The sequence below is a fragment of the Homo sapiens genome, chromosome 22 (genome assembly GCF_000001405.40).
Source record: "Homo sapiens chromosome 22, GRCh38.p14 Primary Assembly".
Classification (NCBI taxonomy): domain Eukaryota; kingdom Metazoa; phylum Chordata; class Mammalia; order Primates; family Hominidae; genus Homo; species Homo sapiens.
Window position 1 is genome coordinate 19,834,675 of NC_000022.11, and position 20,250 is coordinate 19,854,924.

At 50.8% G+C, this 20,250-nt stretch overlaps 2 protein-coding genes across 2 annotated transcripts in view, besides 4 other annotated features; both read right to left on the reverse strand.

The window, feature by feature from the left end:
* Positions 1–20,200, reverse strand: part of GNB1L (G protein subunit beta 1 like) — a 71,652-nt gene extending 51,452 nt beyond the window's left edge. The window contains exons 1-2 of the mRNA NM_053004.3: positions 20,146–20,200; positions 19,769–19,865 (exon numbers count right to left, since the gene is read on the reverse strand). The gene's annotated coding sequence lies outside the window, so the exon portion shown is untranslated. The remainder of the gene's footprint in view (positions 1–19,768; positions 19,866–20,145) is intronic.
* Positions 9,335–9,848: an enhancer, noted in NCBI's record as "H3K27ac-H3K4me1 hESC enhancer chr22:19831532-19832045 (GRCh37/hg19 assembly coordinates)". NCBI's record gives its function as "activates a minimal SCP1, AML or CMV promoter by ChIP-STARR-seq in naive H9 embryonic stem cells {active_cell/tissue: H9 hESC(naive)}" and the evidence as "EXISTENCE:reporter gene assay evidence [ECO:0000049][PMID:30033119]".
* Positions 9,849–10,361: an enhancer, noted in NCBI's record as "H3K27ac-H3K4me1 hESC enhancer chr22:19832046-19832558 (GRCh37/hg19 assembly coordinates)". NCBI's record gives its function as "activates a minimal SCP1, AML or CMV promoter by ChIP-STARR-seq in primed H9 embryonic stem cells {active_cell/tissue: H9 hESC(primed)}" and the evidence as "EXISTENCE:reporter gene assay evidence [ECO:0000049][PMID:30033119]".
* Positions 10,362–10,874: an enhancer, noted in NCBI's record as "H3K27ac-H3K4me1 hESC enhancer chr22:19832559-19833071 (GRCh37/hg19 assembly coordinates)". NCBI's record gives its function as "activates a minimal SCP1, AML or CMV promoter by ChIP-STARR-seq in primed H9 embryonic stem cells {active_cell/tissue: H9 hESC(primed)}" and the evidence as "EXISTENCE:reporter gene assay evidence [ECO:0000049][PMID:30033119]".
* RTL10 (retrotransposon Gag like 10) lies at positions 11,472–20,200 on the reverse strand. The gene is made up of 3 exons (NM_024627.6): positions 19,986–20,200; positions 19,769–19,865; positions 11,472–17,812 (listed from the first exon to the last, which is right to left on the reverse strand). The coding sequence occupies exon 3, from the start codon at positions 17,585–17,587 to the stop codon at positions 16,493–16,495; it is 1,095 nt and encodes a 364-aa protein (NP_078903.3). The 5' UTR covers positions 17,588–17,812; positions 19,769–19,865; positions 19,986–20,200; the 3' UTR covers positions 11,472–16,492.
* Positions 18,690–19,308: an enhancer, noted in NCBI's record as "H3K4me1 hESC enhancer chr22:19840887-19841505 (GRCh37/hg19 assembly coordinates)". NCBI's record gives its function as "activates a minimal SCP1, AML or CMV promoter by ChIP-STARR-seq in primed H9 embryonic stem cells {active_cell/tissue: H9 hESC(primed)}" and the evidence as "EXISTENCE:reporter gene assay evidence [ECO:0000049][PMID:30033119]".
* Positions 20,201–20,250: the final 50 nt, after the last annotated feature.

Below are 20,250 nucleotides of genomic sequence, written 5' to 3' on the forward strand. Positions count from 1 at the left end.
AGCAACCATTAAAAACATAACACAAAGAGATACTGCCAAAGTTCCAACAAAAAATCAAAACAATGTTTTAAAATACCTAAATAATTCAAGAGAGGACAGGAAAGAGGGGATAGAAGAAAAAAAAAGAAGAGAAGAAAAAGAGAAAACAACAAAATAGTAGACCTAAATATAACCATACCAATCACTACAATAAACATAAATGCTCCCAACATGCTAATTATAAGACCCAACTATAAGCTATAAAAAATAAAAAGGTGAAAAAGATATGCTATACAAATAATAAATTGCAGTGGATATATTAATATCAGGCAAAGTAGACCTCAGAGTGAGGAATATTATCACGGACAAGAAGAAGATACAATGATAAATGGCATCGATTCAGAAAGAAGACACAAAAGTTGTAAATACTGAGCTAATAAGAGAACTTCAAAATGCATGAAGAAAAAACTGATGGAACTGAAAGTAGAAATAGATAACTACATAATTATAGGTGGAGACTTAAACTCCTCCTTAGTAACTGACTGAACAAGTGGTCAGGAAGTCATACAGAAGACCTGACTAATACTATCTACCTACTTGACCTAGTTGACATTTATAGAACATGCCGCTCAGTAGAAGAAACACATTCCTCTCAAATGCACATGGAGCACTCATCAAGATAGGCCATATCCTGGGTCATAAAAGAAACCTTAAAAATGTAAAAAAAAAAAAAAACAAACAAACAAACAAAAAAAAAACCTCACGCCTGTAATCCCAGCACTTTGGGAGGTCGAGGCAGGCAGATCACGAGGTCAGGGGTTCAAGACCAGCCTGGCCAGCATGGTGAAACCCCACCTAAAAATACAAAAAATTAGCCAGGCATAGTAGCGCACGCCTGTAGTCCCAGCTATCCAGGAGGCTGAGGCAGAAGAATTGCTTGAACCCAGCTGGCGGAGGTTGCAGTGAGTCAAGATCGCGCCACTGCACTCCAGCCTGGGCGACAGAGCGAGACTCTGTCTCGATAAAAAAAAAAATGTAAAAAAACAAAGTATACAAAGTATGCTCTCTGATCATATGGAATTAAACTGGAAATCAATAACAGCAAGATAATGAAAATCTCCAACTATTTGGAAATTAAACAACACTGTTTTATATAATCAATGGGTTCAAGAGGAAGTCCCAAGGGAAATTAGAAAATATCTAAACTAAATACAAATGAAAACACCACATATCAAAACGTGTAGGATGCAGCTAAAACAGTGCTTAGAGGGAAATTTACAGCATTAAATACTTACATCGACAAGAAGAAAGGTCTCCAAATCAATGACCTGGTTTATGCCTTAAGATAACAGAAAAAGAGGACAAAGTAAGCCCAAAACAAGCACAAGGAAGGAAATAAGATTAGAGCAGAAATAAATATTTTTAAAGAATAGTAAAACAAATGAGAAAATAAAGCAAGAGGTCGGTTCTTTAAAAAGATCAATAAAACTGATAAATCTCTAGCTGAACTGACAACAATAAAAAGAGAAGAGACAAATTATAATAATTAAAGAAGGGTTATCACTACAGACACCAGAAACATTAAAAGGATAAGGAGATACTATGAACAACTCAAATAAATTCAAGCTAAATAAACCTAGCTGAAATGAAAGTTGGAAGACACAGACTATGTGAAGAAAGAGAAGACCTGAATAGTCCTGTATCAATTAAAGGAATCACATTTTTAGTTTAAATCCTTGGGGAAAAAAAAAAATCAAAATTCCAGCCCACATGACTTTACTGGCAAATTCTACCAAACATTTAAAGAAGAAATAACACTATTCTACAAATTATTTTCCCAGAAAACAGAAAAAGAGAGAACATTTCCCAACTAATTTGATGAGGCTAGCACTAACCCAATACCAAAACCAGACAAAGTTAGTAGAAAGAGAAGAAAACCACAAACAAACATATTTCATGAATATAGACATACAAATCCTCAAACAAAATAATATCTTGCTGCTTAAGTCTCAAGTTGGGGAGGGAAAAACAGCAAATCTAATCCAACAGTGTAGAAAAAGAATACACTGGAGCCAACTGGCATTTATCTCAGGAATGCAAAGCTGATTCAATATTCAAAAATCATTCAATGTAAACTCTCATGTTAACACTAAAGAAAAACCACAGGATCATATAAGTTAATATAGAAAAGGCACTGGGCAGAATTCAACATCCATTCATGATTTTTAAAAAAACCCTCAGAAAGCATAATCCATAAGATAAAAAACACAAATTCACCTTCCACAAAATTAGAAACCTTTGCTCTTGAAAAGAGATTTTTTTTTTTTTTTTGAGATGGAGTCTCGCTCTGTTGCCCAGACTGGAGTGCAGTGGCGCGATCTCGGCTCACTGCAAGCTCTGCCTCCTGGGTTCACGCCATTCTCCCACCTCAGCCTCCTGAGTAGCTGGGACTACAGGCGCCCACCACCACACCCGGCTAATTTTTTGTATTTTTAGTAGAGACGGGGTCTCACCGTGTTAGCCAGGATGGTGTTGATCTCCTGACCTCGTGATCCACCCGCCTCGGCCTCCCAAAGTGCTGGGATTACAGGCGTGAGCCACCACGCCCGGCCTGAAAAGAGATTATTAAGAAAATGAAAAGACAATCTATACAGATGGGGAAAAATATTTTCAAATGATGTATATGGCAGATAATTTATATACCAAATATATAATTTTCAAAATCCACAAGGAAAACACACTCACAAAATAAAACCACTAAGAATGGGCAATAGATTTGAACAAACACTTCACCAAAGAAGATATGCAAATGGCAAATAAGGACATGAAAACATACTCAACATCTTTAGTCGCTAGGAAAATGTAAATTAAAACCACAATAAAATGCCATTACCTACTTATCAGAATGGCTAAAACAGAAAAGACTGACCATTCCAGTTGCTGGAAAGCTTATGAAGTAATTGAAACTCTCATACGCTGCTGATGGGATTATAAAATGGTACAACCCCTTGGGAACAAAGTTTGGCTATTTCTTTAAAAACCAGTCACATACTGGAGACAACCCAAATGCCCATCAACAGCAGAAGAAACAGAGCTATATCCACACCTGGATATATCCATCCTTGACAATGACAAAGTAGGAAGTACTGATACATGCTTTAATGTGAATAAATCTCAAAATAATCATGTCAGGTGAAAGAAGCCAGAAAAAGAGAGTAAATTCTGTGATTCTATTTATGCAAAATTCTAGGAGATACAAACTGACCTACAGTGACAGAAAGCAGATTAAAGGGAACCTGGAGAAGAGAGGTGCAGGGAGGAAGAAGGGAGGGGCATGCAGAGACGCAGGAAGATACTTTAGGCACAGTGGGTATGTTGGTTGTCTTGAGCGTGGGGATGGCGTCACAGACGCCGCACTTGTCAAACTGTCCACTTGAAATATGTGCAGTTTATTGCATACGCAATTTAATTGCACAATCTATTTTTGTGCTCATTAAAGGAAATGCAAGAGCAACTAAACAATCCAATTAAAAAGGCATAAAAGATTTGGCCAAACACTCCACCTAAAAAGATGTGCAAATAAGCACAAAAGGCAACTCAACATCATAGCCATTAGGGAAATGCAACTTATGCCCATAATGAAATACCACTACATACCTACTAGAGTGGCTAAAATTCAGAAAAAAACTGTCAAAACCAACAAAACCAAGTGCTGGCAATACTGTGGGGCAACTGGAACCTTGTTGGTGAAATGCAAAATGGTGCCCACACTCTGGAAAAGAGTATGGCAGTTTCTTATTTATTTATTTTTTTATTTTTATTTTTATTTTTTTTTTGAGACAGAGTCTCGCTCTGTTGCCAGGATGGAGTGCAGTGGCACAATCTCAGCTCACTGCAACCTCCGCCTCCCAGGTTCAAGCGATTCTCCTGTCTCAGCCTCCTGGGTAGCTGGATTACAGACGCCTGCCACCGCGCCCGGCTAATTTTTGTAGAGACAGGGTTTCACCATGTTGGCCAGGATGGTCTTGATCTCCTGACCTCATGATCCACCCGCCTTGGCCTCCCAAAGTGCTGGGATTACAGGCATGAACCACTGTGCCCAGCCCAGTTTCTTATAAAATTAAATATGCATTAACATGTTGCCCAACAATTCTACTCCTAGATATGTATTCTAGAGAAGTGAAAACTTATATGCAAACAAAAACCTGTACATGAATGTTTATAGTAGTTATAACTAACCACCCAAAACAGAAATGTGAAAACTATAATCTCCTAAAACAGAAAATAACCCAAATGACCATCTATGGATGAATGGAATACTATTCTGCAACAGAAAGGAACAAACTATTGATAAATGCAACAACGTGGGTGAATCTCCAAAGAACTGAGTAAAAGGCTACACACTATTTATATGGCATCCTGGAAAAGGCAAAAGTATAGGTACAGAGGACAGACCAGTGACTGTCATGGATCAGAAGGAGGGGGAGGGGATCACTGCCAAAGGGCAGCAAAAGGCAGGGTTTTGAGAGAATGAGAAGTTTTCTGTGTCCTGATTGAGGTGGTGTTGACACAGACATGGGTTAGGACTCACTGTAAGCGCACACAATAATAAAGATAATAACAATAATACAGTAGTTCCACCTTATCTAGGGGGGATGATGAATGATGATGATGAAAAGTATCTAGGGATACTTTTCAAGACCCCCAGTGGATGCCTAAAACCATGAATAGTTCTGAACCCTATATACACCATGTTTTTCCCTACAGTGTACATATATACCTACGGGAAAGTTTAATTTAAAAATTAGAGACAGGCACAGTGGTTCATGCCTCTAATCCCAGTACTTTGGGAGGCCAAGGCAGGAGGATCACTGAGCCCAGGAGTTCAAGACCAGCCTGGGCAACACAGGGAGACCCTGTCTCTACAAAAAATAATTAGCTGGGGCAGGGCACAATGGCTCACACCTGTAATCCCAGCACTTTGGGAGGCTGAGGCAAGCGGATCACCTGAGGTCAGGAGTTCAAGACCAGCCTGGCTAACATGGTGAAACTCTGTCTCTACTAAAATTACAAAAATTAGCCCAGGCGTGGTGGCAGGTGCCTGTAATCCCACCTGCTCAGGAGGCTGAGACAGGAGAATCACCTGAACCCAGGAGGTGGAGGTTGCAGTGAGCCAAGATCGTACCACTGCACTCCAGCCTGGGCAACAGAGACTCCGTCTCAATAATAATAATAATAACAATAATAATAATAATAATAATAAGCCAGGTGTGTTGGCACATGTCTGTAGTCCCAGCTACTCAAGAGGTTGAGGTGGTAGGATCACTTGAGCCCGTGGAGTTTGAGACTGCAGTGAGCTATGCTCACACCACTGCACTTCAGCCTAGGCAACACAGCAAGATCTTGCCTCAAAAAAAAAAAAAGTATACTATGATAAAAGTTATGTGAATGTGGTCTCTCTCTTACAATATCCTGTTGTATTGTACTCACCTATTTTCAGACTGCAATTGACCATGGGTAACTGAAACCTCAGCAAAAGTGTAGATGAGAGGGGAGCTAGTGTCGTAATAAAATGCCCATGAGTCCACACTGAGGTAAAGAAATGACTAAATAAACAAATCTCCCAAACAGAAGAATTCCACTTTATGCAGACACTCTACCATCAAGGAGGAGTAGATAACTCCCAACCGTTTAAATATGGGTTATGCAGTGACTCCCTTCCTAAGAGGAGAGTACGGAAAGGAGAGAAAAACAGCCACTTTACAGCAGAAACACCTGACAGATACCACCTCCGCCAGGTGATGACGCTCAGCATCAGCAGGGCTAGGTCATGCTGACCACACGTCCCACTGACATGATAGAAAATCCAGGAATGGGCCAGGTGCATGGCTCACACCTGTAATCCCAGCACTTTGGGAGGTCGAGGCGGGTGGATCACTTGAGGTCAGGAGTTCGAGGCCAGCCTGGCCAACATGGTGAAATGCCGACCCTACTAAAAATACAAAAATTAGCCAGGCATGGTGGCACGTGCCTGTAATCCCAGCTACTGGGGAGGCTGAGGCAGGAGAATCGCTTGAACCCGACAGGCAGAGATTGCAGTGAGCCGAGATCGTGCCATTGCACTCCAGCCTAGGCGAAGAAGCGAAACTCCGTCTCAAAAAAAAAAAAAGAAAGAAAGAAAAAGAAAATCCATCCAGGAATGGCATTCAACCTTTGTGCTTTTCTTCCCAAAACCCTTAAGCTCAGTCTAATCGTGAGAAGAACACAACAAATCCCGGTGGAGGAACATTTTACAAGAGCCTGACCAGTGCTCCTCAAAACTTAAGGTTATCAACAACAAGAAAAGTCTAAGAAGTTGTCCTGGCCAGAGGAGCCTGGGGAGACAGGAGAGCAAACGCAGTGTGGGGTTCTGGATGGGATTCTGCAACAGAAAAGGACATTAGGGCAAATTCAGGAACCCTGGATGAAGCCTGGACTTTGGTCACTAACAATGCATCAATCCTAGTCCATTAGTCATGCGCAGAGCAAGATGCTGACAGGAAAAAGGGCTCAGAAATGCGTCCGTGCACAAGGTTCACACTCAACCACTGCTCTTGGCCACAGTCTCACAGGTTATGTTTCAAATAAAATATATTGTACAAGATTCTTGTGCTATTTTTTCTTGTGTTACAGTTAATGGTATTTAATTTACACTAATGTATTATGAAACTTCAATTCCTGTTTCTGGCTTTGGAGTCAATTTCTATCTCTACTCAAGGTGACTTAAACAGACTTAATGAGCCTGGGCAACATAGCAAGACCCCCATCTCTACAAACAAATAATTTAAAAAAATCGGCCAGTTATGGTGGTGCCCGCCATGATAGTCCCAGCTATGTTGGTGGCTGAAGCAGGAGGAGAGGATCACTTGAGCCCAGGAGGTTAAGGCTGCAGTGAGCTATGATCACACTACTGCACTGCAGCCTAGCCTAAAGAGACCTGCCTCTAAAATAAACAAACAAAACAGACTTAATGTCAACTTTTACACGCTTTTCCCATTCCAAATAATTTACTATCTTATTTTTGCCCTAATATAAATTCATCAACAGTGCCCCCTGGTACAAGCTAGTAGTTATTCGGTTAAGCAAATGAGCTGATGACTTTTATGACCATCGTTACTTCCAGAAGGTGTCCCCAGCCAGCTGGGGACAGAAAGAGCACTGATCTAACCACTGTTGCGCTTCACCAGCCCAGCCCACCTAATTTCTCTATGAAGTAGCACAGCCGTTCTAGCATGAAGATGTTGAATTGGCTGGTCCTCCAGGCCAGCAAGAACATGAAGCCAAGGCCATGAGGCCTGAGGCAGGCACACAGGTGGCTGGTGAATGGGCTCCCTCCCACCTCCTGCTCATCAGGCACCTCCCAGGCTACACCTGGAACCAGAAAGGCACTCCCTGGACAGGCCTGTCCTGAGCAGAGACCTCAGTGTCATCCCCTGCCTTCCTGGTGAGGAAGACAGCAGCAGTAAGGCCCAGAATCTCAGAACTGTCCGCTGCATTGCAGCCTCAGCCAGCGACCCTGATCTCCCAAAAAGCCTCACACACACCACTCCAAGAAGCTGCATCAGACACAGAGCCCTGGGCTATCCCAGTCAGTTCACTGGCACACATCTCAGTGCTGCTGCTTCAAACCAGGAAACTGAGGTCTAGATACACCCTTCCCCATCTCTGAAATGCAGGGAGATCAGCGGGGAGTCAGTGGGGGCAGTCAGAGACTAGCCCCCAACAACCCTTCTCAGTCACTGATGTCTGCCCACCAAGGCCTCGGGGGCCAGGATTGCTTCCATGGCCTTGGCTCTCAGCCCAGGACGGGGGTGGGAGCAGCCTGGTGAGTAATGCCCAGGCCCCCAAGAGGTGGTCCTGCCATAAATAATGCCAAGGACACATCCCCCTTCAAGGGAGGCCAGACCTGCCAGGGAGGGCTGCAGAAAAGCTGCACTCTAGCTGCAAACAGGAAGGGATGAGCCTGCTCAGATGGTGAGGTCCCTATCCTGTTACCTGCCACTCACGGCCACAAAGGACCAGAAACCCTCCCTGGGCAAGGAAAACATGCTGCACCTCCCTGTTTGGACCCACGGCTACCAGGGCCAGCTACTGGAGATACCAGGACTCTGCTAGTGTCACCTGGCCTGGGAAGGACCTAAGCAGCTCAAGCTGGCCACACAGCAGCCACAGCCCTGGCCATGGCCCCCACCTGCCCACTCCCACTGCAGCCAGCTCCCTGTCCTGAGCACGGGAAACAGGTCTACCAGCACTAACTCAAACTTCACAAAGAAACCATTTCTGGAATGGGGCTCCGTTTGGCGATTCGGAGTCAAAGGCGCACTTCATAGCTCCTTTCCAAATCCCGTGCATTGTCAGGCCCTGTTCCCCTTTGAAGCCTCGCTGAGTGATTGAAGCGTCTACTTTCTGAGGGGCAGATAGCACCGGGCTGGTAATCTGACTCTAAGCCACGGGATAAAGGTAGTTTGTTTCCTCTCAGCCCGTCTGTCAACACCTCCTCAGTAATTAGCCCTAATTATTACAGAGGGCCAGCCTCCCATTCGGTTATTAAATCAGAAATAGTATCACGGCTGGGCATCTGTCAACGCCCCGACTGGCGACCTTCGATTCATTGAATCCTCTGTCAGTATCCGCCTTTGGAAGCGCCCAGGCGGGCAGGGAGGCAGCGGCTTCAAAGATGCAGATCCCAGGAAGAATTCCGGTGAGGCAGGGAGGCAGGGAGGGCCGGTGCCCAGCAGCCCGATGGCGAGGGGGAGCCAGGCACCGCCCCCCGGGCAGCAAGTGCACAGCCCAACCCCAGCAATTTCCCACCTCCCAGGGCTGACCGATGTCAGTCTCTCTGTGGCGGGGAATAAGGTATGCCCCCCAAGAACTCCTTCCCTTGGAGAAGAAAGCACCTCCAGGCCTGCATCAGGCATATCCGTCTCAGGGAGTGGCCCTGACTGACAACTTGGCCTGAGGCCCACAAAGCCCTGAACCAGCTCAGTGCAGGGAGGGGAACCCGAGCCCCGGCTGCCCAGAGCACTGGTAAGCTGGCAAATCTGCAAAGCAGAACTCAGATTCCAGCCATAGACACGATTTCCATAGTGGAGATGAGAGTGCTACAGTCCTGTAGGCCCCGACGAAGGACAGCCACCCATCTCCCTTCTGGGTCTGAGTCTGTTCTCCATCCTAGAGAAATGGTCATTTGCTCTGCCACAGGGGCCTTCTGCTCTGGCAAAGCACCTCCACCCTGCTCCCCTAGGGTATAGCTGCCCCCCAGCAAGATTCACTGCCTCAGGCCAGGGGCCGGCACTGACCTCACCTCACCTGGGGCAGTGGCCCAGGTGCCCCAGGGCTGGCCACCAGCACTTCTCCAGAGACTGAGACCCACAGTGCCCCACCCAGGACTCCTGGCCTGCAGTGAGCCAGGTGGGGCCCAGCACGGTGCCTACATGCTGAACCCCACCAGGTCTGTGCCGCCCCCTTCCAGATAGGCCCTGCTGCGTGTGAGGGAGGGTCCCAGAGATCAGTCACTTTTGCTGGGGACACGCCCAAATGGCGTGATTCGTTCCCGAGCAGAGACAAGCAAGTTCCTCTAGACAGCCCACTGCAGCCTGTTCTCCCCCGAGGCACTGCCAGTCCCTGCTGGGTGCTCTGCCAGCACTTTGGGTCCTCGTGGCCACCAACCACCCACCACGCTGGCAGGGGGAGTGGGTCTCATGGAGACAAGGACATGGATTAGTTTTCTTCCTTGGGGATGCCTGGAAGCCTCATGGCTGGGGCATGAGGAGTGACCTGCTGGCCAGCTCCACAGTCAGCAGGGGCGCCAGGCAGGCGCTGAGGCTGCAAGTCAGACTTCTCCTTTGCACTGGGACACGGGCTGCCTCAGCTGAGCCAAGAGGAAATGCCAGCGTGAGGAGCCACCAGGCTGCAGAGGCAGGCAGGATGGGCAGGCGGGGTCTCTCTGTGAGCAGGCATCTCACGCTGTGGCTGGGGATGTCCGTCGCCCCAGGAGCGGGTCCCAGGAGCCTGGCAAGATGGCAGGAAGGAAGCCTGACTTGGACATTGTTAGCCAGCCTGCCCCAGGCACTTACGGGCAGAGGCAGGAACCCAGCCAGCAGAGGGACCGGCCTTTTTGACCCGGGTGAACACACGGAAAAGCTCACTGCTTTACAGGAAGCGTGACATCCCCGTGCACCAGTTCAGCCTCTGCTCAGAGGCCTGGTTCATGTAGGCCAGCTGCCGATCCCATCAGGGAGAGACAACACTCACAGAGGGTGCAGGATGGGGACCAATCCCCTGGGGCTGGTGCCCCTGGCCTCGGGGATGGGGATGTGCCCTGGAAACTTGGTCGGAGCTGGAGGAGGGGTCCCTAAGCAAGCTGGGGCTGACACTTTCTGACAGGGACTTGCCTGTGTGGCTCCTCCTGTGGCGGAGGCAACCTTGGGTGGAAAGGGGAGGTCCCCTATCACACACAGGTGGTGGTGTGGCCAGGTGTATGTCTCATCAACTCCCGACCACCCAGCTGCATGCAGTCAGCTGTGCACATGCTTACATATGCATGCCAGCAATGTGCTTGCCCACATCCACAGACATGCGAATGAGGACAGAGGCCAGCCTCCCACTCGCTCTGCCCTGTGGGTGCTGCAGGTGGACCCCTCACTGAGGGCCCCCCCTATGCACAGCCTGTGAATAAAGAGCCCTGGCTCCACAACCCACAAACACTCCCCAGTCCCCTGCAGTGCTCAGACACAGAGGTGAGGTGGGCAGCGCAGGCACAGCAGGGGGCAGGGGAGTCAGATGTCCTGTGCACCCAGCTGGCAGCCCCACCAATGGGGACACAGAAGAATGTGGCAAGTGCATGAGCACCCATCATCCACAGGCCCCAGCCCTGTGCTGGGGGTGGTTCCTGAGGCCAGGAGGAAAGGAGCCGGCCAATGAGAACACCCCACAGGCCTGGGCTCTTCCTTGGCCAGCCCCTACCCACCGTGTCCCTGTAATAGAGATGATGTAGCCCAAAGAAAAACTAAGGGAGCAACGGGCCCTGCTGTCCTGGAGAGCAGGCTTGGCCAGGCTGTCCAGCGACAAGGCACCCCCGAGGCCTGCACCAGGAGAGTGTGAACACTGCTGGGGCTGGGCAAGGGCCATGACACCATCCTCGCTGCCTCTGCATTTGTGATCCAATGTGTTTTAAAACTTGCAAAGACAACTTGAAAAATGGGGACATGGATGGTTTCCCTATGACATAAGCAAGACTTAAAAGCTAGAATAACTAGTAAGGGACAGATCAGACCAGAGAGCAGGCGGGTAGGCCAGGCATGGCTCACGGGTGGCTGCAGCCAGACTGTGAGTTGCTGCAGCCAGCAGCTGATGCTGAGGTAGGCCCTATGGAAAAAGGTGAAATGGGATCCCCTGTTGGTCAGGACATAATAGGTTATGCTGTGGAAAACACAAGCCCCAAACTCAGTGGCTTCGCACATCAAAAATTTATTTCTTGCTCATATTACATGTGCATCGCGGTCGGCAGAGGGGCTCTGCTCATCACAGGCTATCAAGGATGACAGCAGACCCCTCCCTTCTGCCGCAGTTACACTTACAGGTGGACTCAAGGTTGAATGTCAAAGGCAGAAAGTTACAACCTGGGAATACAGGATAATGCCTTTGTACCCCCCAGGTAGGGAAAGATTTCTTAAGTGAGAAACAGCATCCCATACAGCACAACTGGGCACTGCCTACTCAACAGCCAAGGCTTGGCCATCCCCACTCCTCAGTATGGGCCCCAGAACCCAGGGCCTGGGGGACTCTGCACACAGGCATGTGGAGACCACAGAAGCCTGCCCAATATAGCGCTGCCAGGAACAGCAAAGACAAAACCAGAGAAGCCTATCGCGGGCACCGCTGTGGGCAGAACTATGTCCCTTCAATATTTTTATGTTCAAGTCCTAACCCCTAGTACTTACATTTGAAGACAGGGTCTTTAAAGAGGTAATTCAGGGTTAAATGAGGTCATGAGGGTGGGCCCTGATCCAATAGACTAGTGAGCTTATGAGAGATTAGGACACAGACACAGACAGGGACACGGCAAGAAGATGGCTATCTGCAGGCCAAGGAGCGAGGCCTCAGGAGAAACCAACCCTGCCCACACCTTGATCTCAGGCTTCTAGCTCCAGAATCATGAGGAAATGTCTGTTGTTTAAGTCCCCTAGCCTGCGGTCCTTTGTCAGGCAGCCCCAGCAGACAAACAGGTATGTTGCCCTGGGATGGATGCAGGCCCCTCCCATCCTCCCATCCTCAGCAGCACCAACCAGCCCCACGCTGGGTGGCTGCTTGTACTTCTCCATACTGAGCACCCCAGCCCATAGGATGATCAGCTGCTGCCGTCCTATGGAACTCAGGTGTGGCTCTGTGGCTTCCTTTGGCCACAGAAATGGAAGTGGGGTGACACACATTACTTGTGGCCTGCTGTGGCCTTTCCCCTGCCTCAGTGAGCATGGAGAAATATGTCCAGGTAGGCTGTCGTCAGCACAGGTCTGACAGGCCCCAGCCACGGTGGCCCACAGGTGCAAGCAAGAAATAAGCAGTGCCAACTGTAGCCGCTGCGCTGTTGGAGATCTTTGTTACTGCAGCACAATCTGGCTCATGCTGACTGATCCTGCAGGGTAACAGCTTTATTTGCCTTGCTCCTTTATTGCTGGATCTTTGGGCTTTTCCAGTTCTGCTGTTCAAAAAACAGTGACACCCATGAGGTGGGTGTTAGAGGGCCCAGACCCCAGCCAAGGCACTGCATGGGCATCATTCTCATTCAACCCTTCTAACCACCCCATGAGGAAAAACTCTGGTCACAGCTCAAAAAGGTCAGGTAAGGACCCTCAGCTCATGCGGGGAGGGGAGGAGGCAAGGCCAACCTCCAGTCCCTGCTCTAAACCCCCATGTAGTGGTACCGAACCATGACCACCCCTGGCAAGAGCCTTCATGCACCTAGCAAGTAGTCACAGCATGCATGTGCCTAGAATTGTTACGTGGTCAAATTATATTATTGTGTATTCCCACCAACAGTATGAGAAGGTCCACTTCTCCATACCTCCACAACTCTGGGCATCTAAAACTTTTAAAATCCTGGAATCATAGGCAAAAAAAAAAAAAAAAAAAAATTCACCCATATTTTCCTCTAGTACTTTCATAATTGTAACATTGAAATCTTTAATCTGGAATATGTACTGGCATAAAGAGTGAGGCACATACATGGCTTTACTATTTTCCAGAGGGCCAACTGCTTTTACTGAATAATCCATTTTACTCGTTAATTGGAAACACCTCTAGCCTGTACTAAATTTCCATATTTATTTGGCCCGTTTCAAAGTCCTCTATTCTCTGCTCATCTGTCCACATCTAAGTGCTTTAACTATTGTGGCTTTATAAAATATTCCAATATCCCATAGGACCTTATCCTTAGTACTTCCTATTTTAAAGTTTTCCTTGCAGACAGGTACTTTAAATACCATCTCACAGCACCCATCATGTCCTATCTTCAGGAAATAAAATCTCTGGGTATTTCCAAGGGAAGTGAAGGACTGACACCATGATTAGAAAGCAGAGCCAGCACCATGGCCCGTCCCTGAGCATGTCCAGCAAACCCTGCCAGGCTCTGCAGCTCCTGAGCACCCTGCCTTCGGGTCTGCCAGTGTGTGGGGGCCAGAAGAGAAAAACAACCCAGGGGGAATGCCTCCTTCCCCCAGCAGGAAAGCAGCTTGGTCATCATCTGTCTGAAAGCAGGTGCTGCAGCAGCTGGCAACAAAGCCACTCTGAAAGGAGCTGTGTGCACTGCCTGTCTGGAAGGCCATGCCAGAGTCCATCGTTGCCTCCACCCTACCTGTGCAGGAAACCTGGACATCACCACTTCAAGGCCCTACCTTCCTTTCTGGGCAGAGCCCAACCACAATAAACAGGACGCGTTTTAATTAAAAACCAGGTCACCTGGACTCTCCCAAGGACTCTCAAGCCTGCCTAGGTGGATGCTGCATGACTGGCCCTCAGACACACGGCAGACCATAACTCACACACCCCCAGGAGCTGCCTGGGTCCCAAGGGCACAAAAGCCCCAAAGCCCCAATAGGACAGGGTTCAAAAGAGAAGGCAGCAATCCCAGGCTGGAGTATCCACTTCAGGTCCACTAAAGGGAGATGGGGAAGGTGGCCTGTCCAGAAGCCTGTGGGACAGGGTAAAGGTCAGCTGGGTGACTAGGCTGTCCATCCTAGAGAGCAACTCTGGGTTCTACTGCCAGACCCACAGGTGAGCCAGGCCACAGTGCACTGGAGGTAGGCATCAGGGAGCAGTCTGACCCAACCCACAAAAGGGGGGATGGGGCCTGAGTCATCGGACGGAGGGCAGCTGTGACCTGGCACAGAAGCATGGGGCTGGGCCAGGACATCCAGGGACTTCTCACATCTGACCAGAATCAAGACTGAAAATGGGTTTCTTCTGCCAGCTCACTTGCTTTGCTACCAGGGCTATACCTGCTTTCTAAAAATAGCTTCCCACCTATTTCCAAGGTTTCCAGTTGTTTTACCTACAAGGTATCTGTGCCCTGAAATAACTCACACATAAAACCATCTGAACCCAGAGCCTTTTCTAGTGATAGTTACCATAAAATAATCCCAACAATTTATATTTTTCTAAATAAGGTTTTTGTTTTTTGTTGTTTTTTTTTTTTTGGGATGGAGTTTCACTCTTGTTGTCCAGGCTGGAGTGCAATGGCGTGATCTCGGCTCACCACACCCTCTGCCTCCTGGGTTCAAGCAATTCTTCTGCCTCAGCCTCCCAAGTAGCTGAGATTACAGGCATGCACCACCACACTTGGCTAATTTTGTATTTTTAGGAGAGATGGATTTCTCCATGCTGGTCAGGCTGGTCTTGAACTCCTGACCTCAGGTGATCCACCCACCTTGGCCTCCCAGAGTGCTGGGATTACAGGTGTGAGACACTGCTCCCGGCCAGTTTCTGAATAAGTTTAATCAGATGCTTGCTAATTAGTTTTTCCTAAAATAGTTGGCTGTATTTCCAATTCACATTTCTGCTTTTTCTTCCTACTTTCCAGGAAGGTGTTGTTTTGTTGTTTTCACAATTGTAAACCTGAAAGGGACTTGAACTTCTTGTCCAAGCACCAGAGTGGGCACACACTGCACACACTGGGCGGCTGTACCTGCCTATCCTGTGGTAAACTTGGCTCCAGGAGCTTCCAAGCTCAGCTTCCACTAGAAAACCCCTCCTTGTGTGGAACAGGTCTTTCTTCATTCCATTCCTCTGGGCCTGGGGCCTCACAGCTCTGGACTGCTGCCTGGTCCTCACTTCACCTACAGCTCTCGGAAGTCAGTTCTCTACCTGCAGAGCCACCCACCCCCTACTCAGCCCCACCCAGCTTCTTTGATCAGACCCTTGGACCCTCAAAGCCCCTGCCAGAAACCACAGCTGCAATGCTGACCTGGAATGCTCATGGCCAGGCCTCTGCTCCTGACAGAATGGGAAACAAAGACTTGCTGGTAGGCAGCCACTGCACCACCTCAGCCAGTAATCCAACACGTGTTTAATGAGCACCAATTGTGTACCAGGCCACAGAGCTGACTAAGACAGAGCCCCTGTGCTGAGGGTCACAGTCTGCCAGGAGGGAGATCCAAGTCATTTACACACTAGGGCTTAAGTGCTGAATCCGCAATGCATGCGAGTGCGGAGTGAGCAGGGGATGGCAGCACAGCAGCAGGGAAGAGGAGCCTGCTTCAGAACACCAGGCACGATTAGAGCTACAGTGTTAACACACAAAGGGCGAATGCCTGCAGCTGAGCCTGGCAAGGGGCTTGCATCCCACCTTCCTGCATCCAAACCTTCCAGCTGCCCAGAACTGCTGGTAATCCCACAGGAAACATCATTCTTTGCCAAGATGCTATCCCACTCATCCCCCAGAATCAAAGTGGCCACTTCCTCCAGGCAGCCTTCCTCACATTCCAGCTGGGACAGAAGTCACAGGGAGCAGAGAGGGTGGGGCTAGGGGGACAGACACAGAAACCCCATACAGGAACGAGGTCCCAACAGGGCAGACGTGGCAGACCCAGTTCAGTCCCAGCCAGTGTGGAAGACACCAAGGGGGGTGTTTTATGGGGGTGGAGGTGACAAAGATGATGCAACTATCTGCTGAGAGTTGATCTACAAAACGACCCCCTCGTGGGAGCAGGCCTGGGTGAGACGGCACTCCCAGAAGACGGGCAGGGATGCAGCAGAGAGCCAGCAGCAGGGAAAGGGCACAGGGCGGAGGTCAAGCTCTGCTGGAGTTGGGGGAGCTGGTTCTGCTCAGCGCAGAGTCCAAAACAAGCGCATCTTGCCCAGCTATGGGGTCTGAAGTCATCTGGGGACACCACTCTGCTCTGACTGGGGACTATGGGGCGCTCAAGCCACACAGGCCACTTCATCATGAGGGGCAGCATTGTTCCCACCTGGGCTGTGTTCAGAACCCAGGAGAAAGTGGTGGCTCTCCTGGGGTCTCCGGGGCCTCCACCACCTCCTGTGGGGTACCTAAGGACACCTCCTGGTCTCCCTCTGTCTCCAAAACCTCCTCCTCTGTTTTCTGGGGTTTTGGACCTCCTGGATGAGCTGGGTCTGGTCTCTGGGCAGGAGGATTAGCTGACTCCGACAGTCTAGGGACAGGTGTGGGGGCTGCCTCCTCTGGCTGGGAAGAGGCTGGTTCCACAGGACCAGGCTTGGAGCTACATGTAGAACTGGGCAGGACTGGGGGCTCCTTGGGCCCAGGGGTGCTCTCCTTGGTCAGCTGCTGCTCGAACAGAGCACTTCTAGATACAGAGTTGGACCCAGACACAGCAGGGGTGGCCATGGCGGCTGGTAAAGACCTGGGGGCAGTACCCATGTCGAGTGCCAGGCCCTCTAAGAACCTAGCTAAGTATTGCCTCACCACAGGCAGCTGAGGGGCCACTGGCAGCTGGCTGGAGGCCAGGGGCAGGGGACAGGTAACCACAGCATGGTACTCAGCAAAACTGTTCGGGTCTTGAACAACTTCCTTGAGATCCTGGCAGAAGAGCTCGTAATCGTCAGGCAGGGGCAGGTCCCCATCAAGGTAGGGGGCTGCCCAGGCCTGGGCTCGGCCTGTTAGGCGCCTGAGGATCTCGCAGACACGGCTGATGTTGTCCTGATAGTGCTCAAAGTGGAAGGACATGTAATCGCCCAGCTGGGCCAAGAAGCGGTCCAGTAGCCACGGGGAGCCATCAAAGGTGCCTGGGTCTGAGCCTGGTACCCAGCAGAAGTCCACCCTGTGGGGTCGGGAGCTGGGCATGTGCCCAGCTAGGGGACCCCTTTCTGCAGGTTTACCGCCACAAGTGCCACTAGCTGTGCTCTTCTGCTCCATGGTCGTTCGCACACACACGGTGTCCCCACAGCAGGGCCGCTCAATCCAGGGATCCACAAGGGGGGTGTATGCCACCCCAGGAGACGCCTTGTCCATCTGCTGCCATGGATGTGCGTTGGCATAATTGGCGGCTGCCCAGATGGGAATGCGAGGGCCCTGCTGACGGCACCGGCCACGAGGCATGCTGGGAGCACAGGGGAGAAGAGAGGAGAGCCAGCACTGGTGGGTGGTGGGGGTGTGGACAGATGTGGCTTGCACGACACAACAGGACAGGGATGGCTGAACAGGGCGTGGCAGACCCGCACTGGTCCAGGCAAGTGCTGAGGATCAGGGAGCTGACAGCTGCAGCCTCAGGAGAGCTGAGAAGAGCTGAGAGACTGTCAGTCGCAGGCCATCATCCGAGGCAATCTGTCCAAAGACAAGGTGGGGAAGAGCAGGAACTAGGCCTAACCATCACCCACTGGACTGGTGGGAAGAGGCTACAAGCGGGCAACCCTCTGGTACCCAACTAGGAGCTTTGAATGGAAGGAGGGGCCCAGGGGGCTGGCCTGGGAGGTCTGAGGTGGGCAAATGCTGCCTATGACATTGCAAGGGCAAGGCAGAATGACAGATGCTGTCAATTTCAGAAGAAAAGGGGCCAGATCAGAACTGTCAGGAATTTCAGGATAGCAATAGTAGTAACCTTTCACTGAGTGCCCCATTTGTGCCACCTCCCCCACAGGAGGTTGGTACTAGCATTGTCTTTGAGGCACACAGTGGTGAAGTAACTTGTCTGCAGCCACACACTAACCCATAAGTGGTGGAAGCAGCAAAAACTGGCTGGAGAGACCAGAGGCTTAACTACTATACAGCACGCGATTATAAACTACATTTGTCTGCTGAGTAGGCTCTAGCCGCCCCAAAAACTCTGAACAACGCACAGACCGCGTCGTCATTAGGCTCTTTTACATCCCAGCACCAGGCACACAGCAGGTCCTACCTGCTTCCCCGACAGAGCAGTGAGCCTGCTATTCTCTGCTCCCTCCTGACCCCACATGCTTTCCAAATTCACCTCTCACAACTGAGTGCCACCTGCAGGCAATGCCACCCCCACCCACAAACACCACCTTTCCACAGTCCCCATCCCAGCCACAGCAGAGCATCCCAGCCCCCACCATTGTAAAATCCTGGAACCCCACTTGCTGTCTGCTCCCGCCACTCCAGTCACTTGTGCCCAGGGTCTGGGGAGTCCCAGTCTGATGGCTGGACCCGCCCCTCCTTCTCCACGCAGCAGTCACCTAGGAGGCTCCAGAGCCAGTAGCCAGTTCTATTCCAGTGCAAGGAGCCCTCCTGTAGGGCTCTTACACTCTGCAGCCTAACTCTATCTAGCCCCCTCCCCAGTCTCTCTGCAAACGGAGGCCCACTCACGACCTCCAGGAAACTCTCTGCTTCACCCCACACACAAACGCCACCGGCTCACTGGGAGCACAAGGCCTGCACACACCTTCATCCCACATCTCCTATCTGCTGGCCATCCCCCCTCAGGGTGAGTTCCTCCAGGTACCTCCCAGGGTGGCCTGCAGCACTAGAACCTGCCAGGGCCACTGGCCCTACCTCCACCACCCAAACACTCTGGAATCCCTCAGGTCTGACCCCCCTCTGGGGGGGGGGTCTTCACCTGAAAGCCCAGCCCATGACCCTGGCTTCCCACCTTACTGCAGGATTATACTAAGGCCTGGACGTGAGTCGAGTCCAGTCCAGTCCCTCACTGAGCTCTAAAAAAGCAGTGACCCCGATCCAGGGCCCAGCTCCCACCACCAGCCAAGGTTAGGTATCCAGGTTGCCCACAATGACCACACCCCATGCCCGGGAGCCACAGTGTGCTACCCAGATCTCTGCCTTCCCTTCTTCCCAGTCCCCTACCCTGCCCACTCACCTGCGCACCTGTGTCCCCTGCAGTCTGGGAGAAGGCTTCCCTGCACCAGCCAGCCAGGCCTGCTTTGGGCCTGAGCCTTCCTAACCCTGGGCCGCACTCTCACCATTTTGAGAACCTTAGCCCTCCCACGCCTATCAGTCTGTTGGTCCCCCTACTTTTCTCCCCACACTGCCTGGCATAGAAGACTTTCGGCCCTTCTAGACTGGACAGCACTATCCTAAAGGGGCAGGTACCACGGCGCATGTGTGTTTGCCCCCACAAGGCCAAAGGCAGCACCTGGAACGCTGGAGCCGTTCTCTGCTCTGGGGAGACCCAGGAGCCCCAAGAACAAAACCTGCCCAAAGCCTTAAAGCAAGCTGAGTGCAGACGACTGCACCGCCCGCCCCCCAGCAACCGCCATGCAGGAAATACGAGCTCACAAGGCCCACGGCAACAAGAAGCCCACCCACCTGAGGCTACGCGAATCGCCCGCGAAGAGGGTCCTGGGATCCGTAGCCACAGACCGTGGGACGGGCCTCCCTCTGAGGGCGAGAGTCCAGGCGCCACCTAGAAAGTGGAGAACGAGATCGGCCGCCGTGAGGCCAGGCAAGGAGCGGGCGCGGCTTCCCGAGACTGCGAGAACGGCCCAAATGTCTCCAGGTGCCCCCACAAACCCCCGGCGCGGACCGAGAAACTGAGGCCCGCAGACCGAAGGCACTGCGACCCAGGCTGGGGCTCCGAGTGCCCCTCTGCGGATCAGAAGTCGGGAAAAGACGCAGGGGCGCAGCTCCAGGCCCGCGTGCACGGAGTTCAAGCCGGCCGCCCGGGCTCCCGCCTCCACACTGACCCTCTTGCCGGAGTCGGGAACGCCTGCTCCTAGGAGCGCCGCGCAGCGTCCAGAGACCGATTACATCGCGCAGCCACGCCCCCAGCGTGCGCGCGGCCGCCGTGT

Excerpts from the sequence above, each read along its gene's own strand:
- RTL10 (NM_024627.6), bottom strand. The coding sequence starts at position 17,587 with ATGCCTCGTGGCCGGTGCCGTCAGCAGGGCCCTCGCATTCCCATCTGG.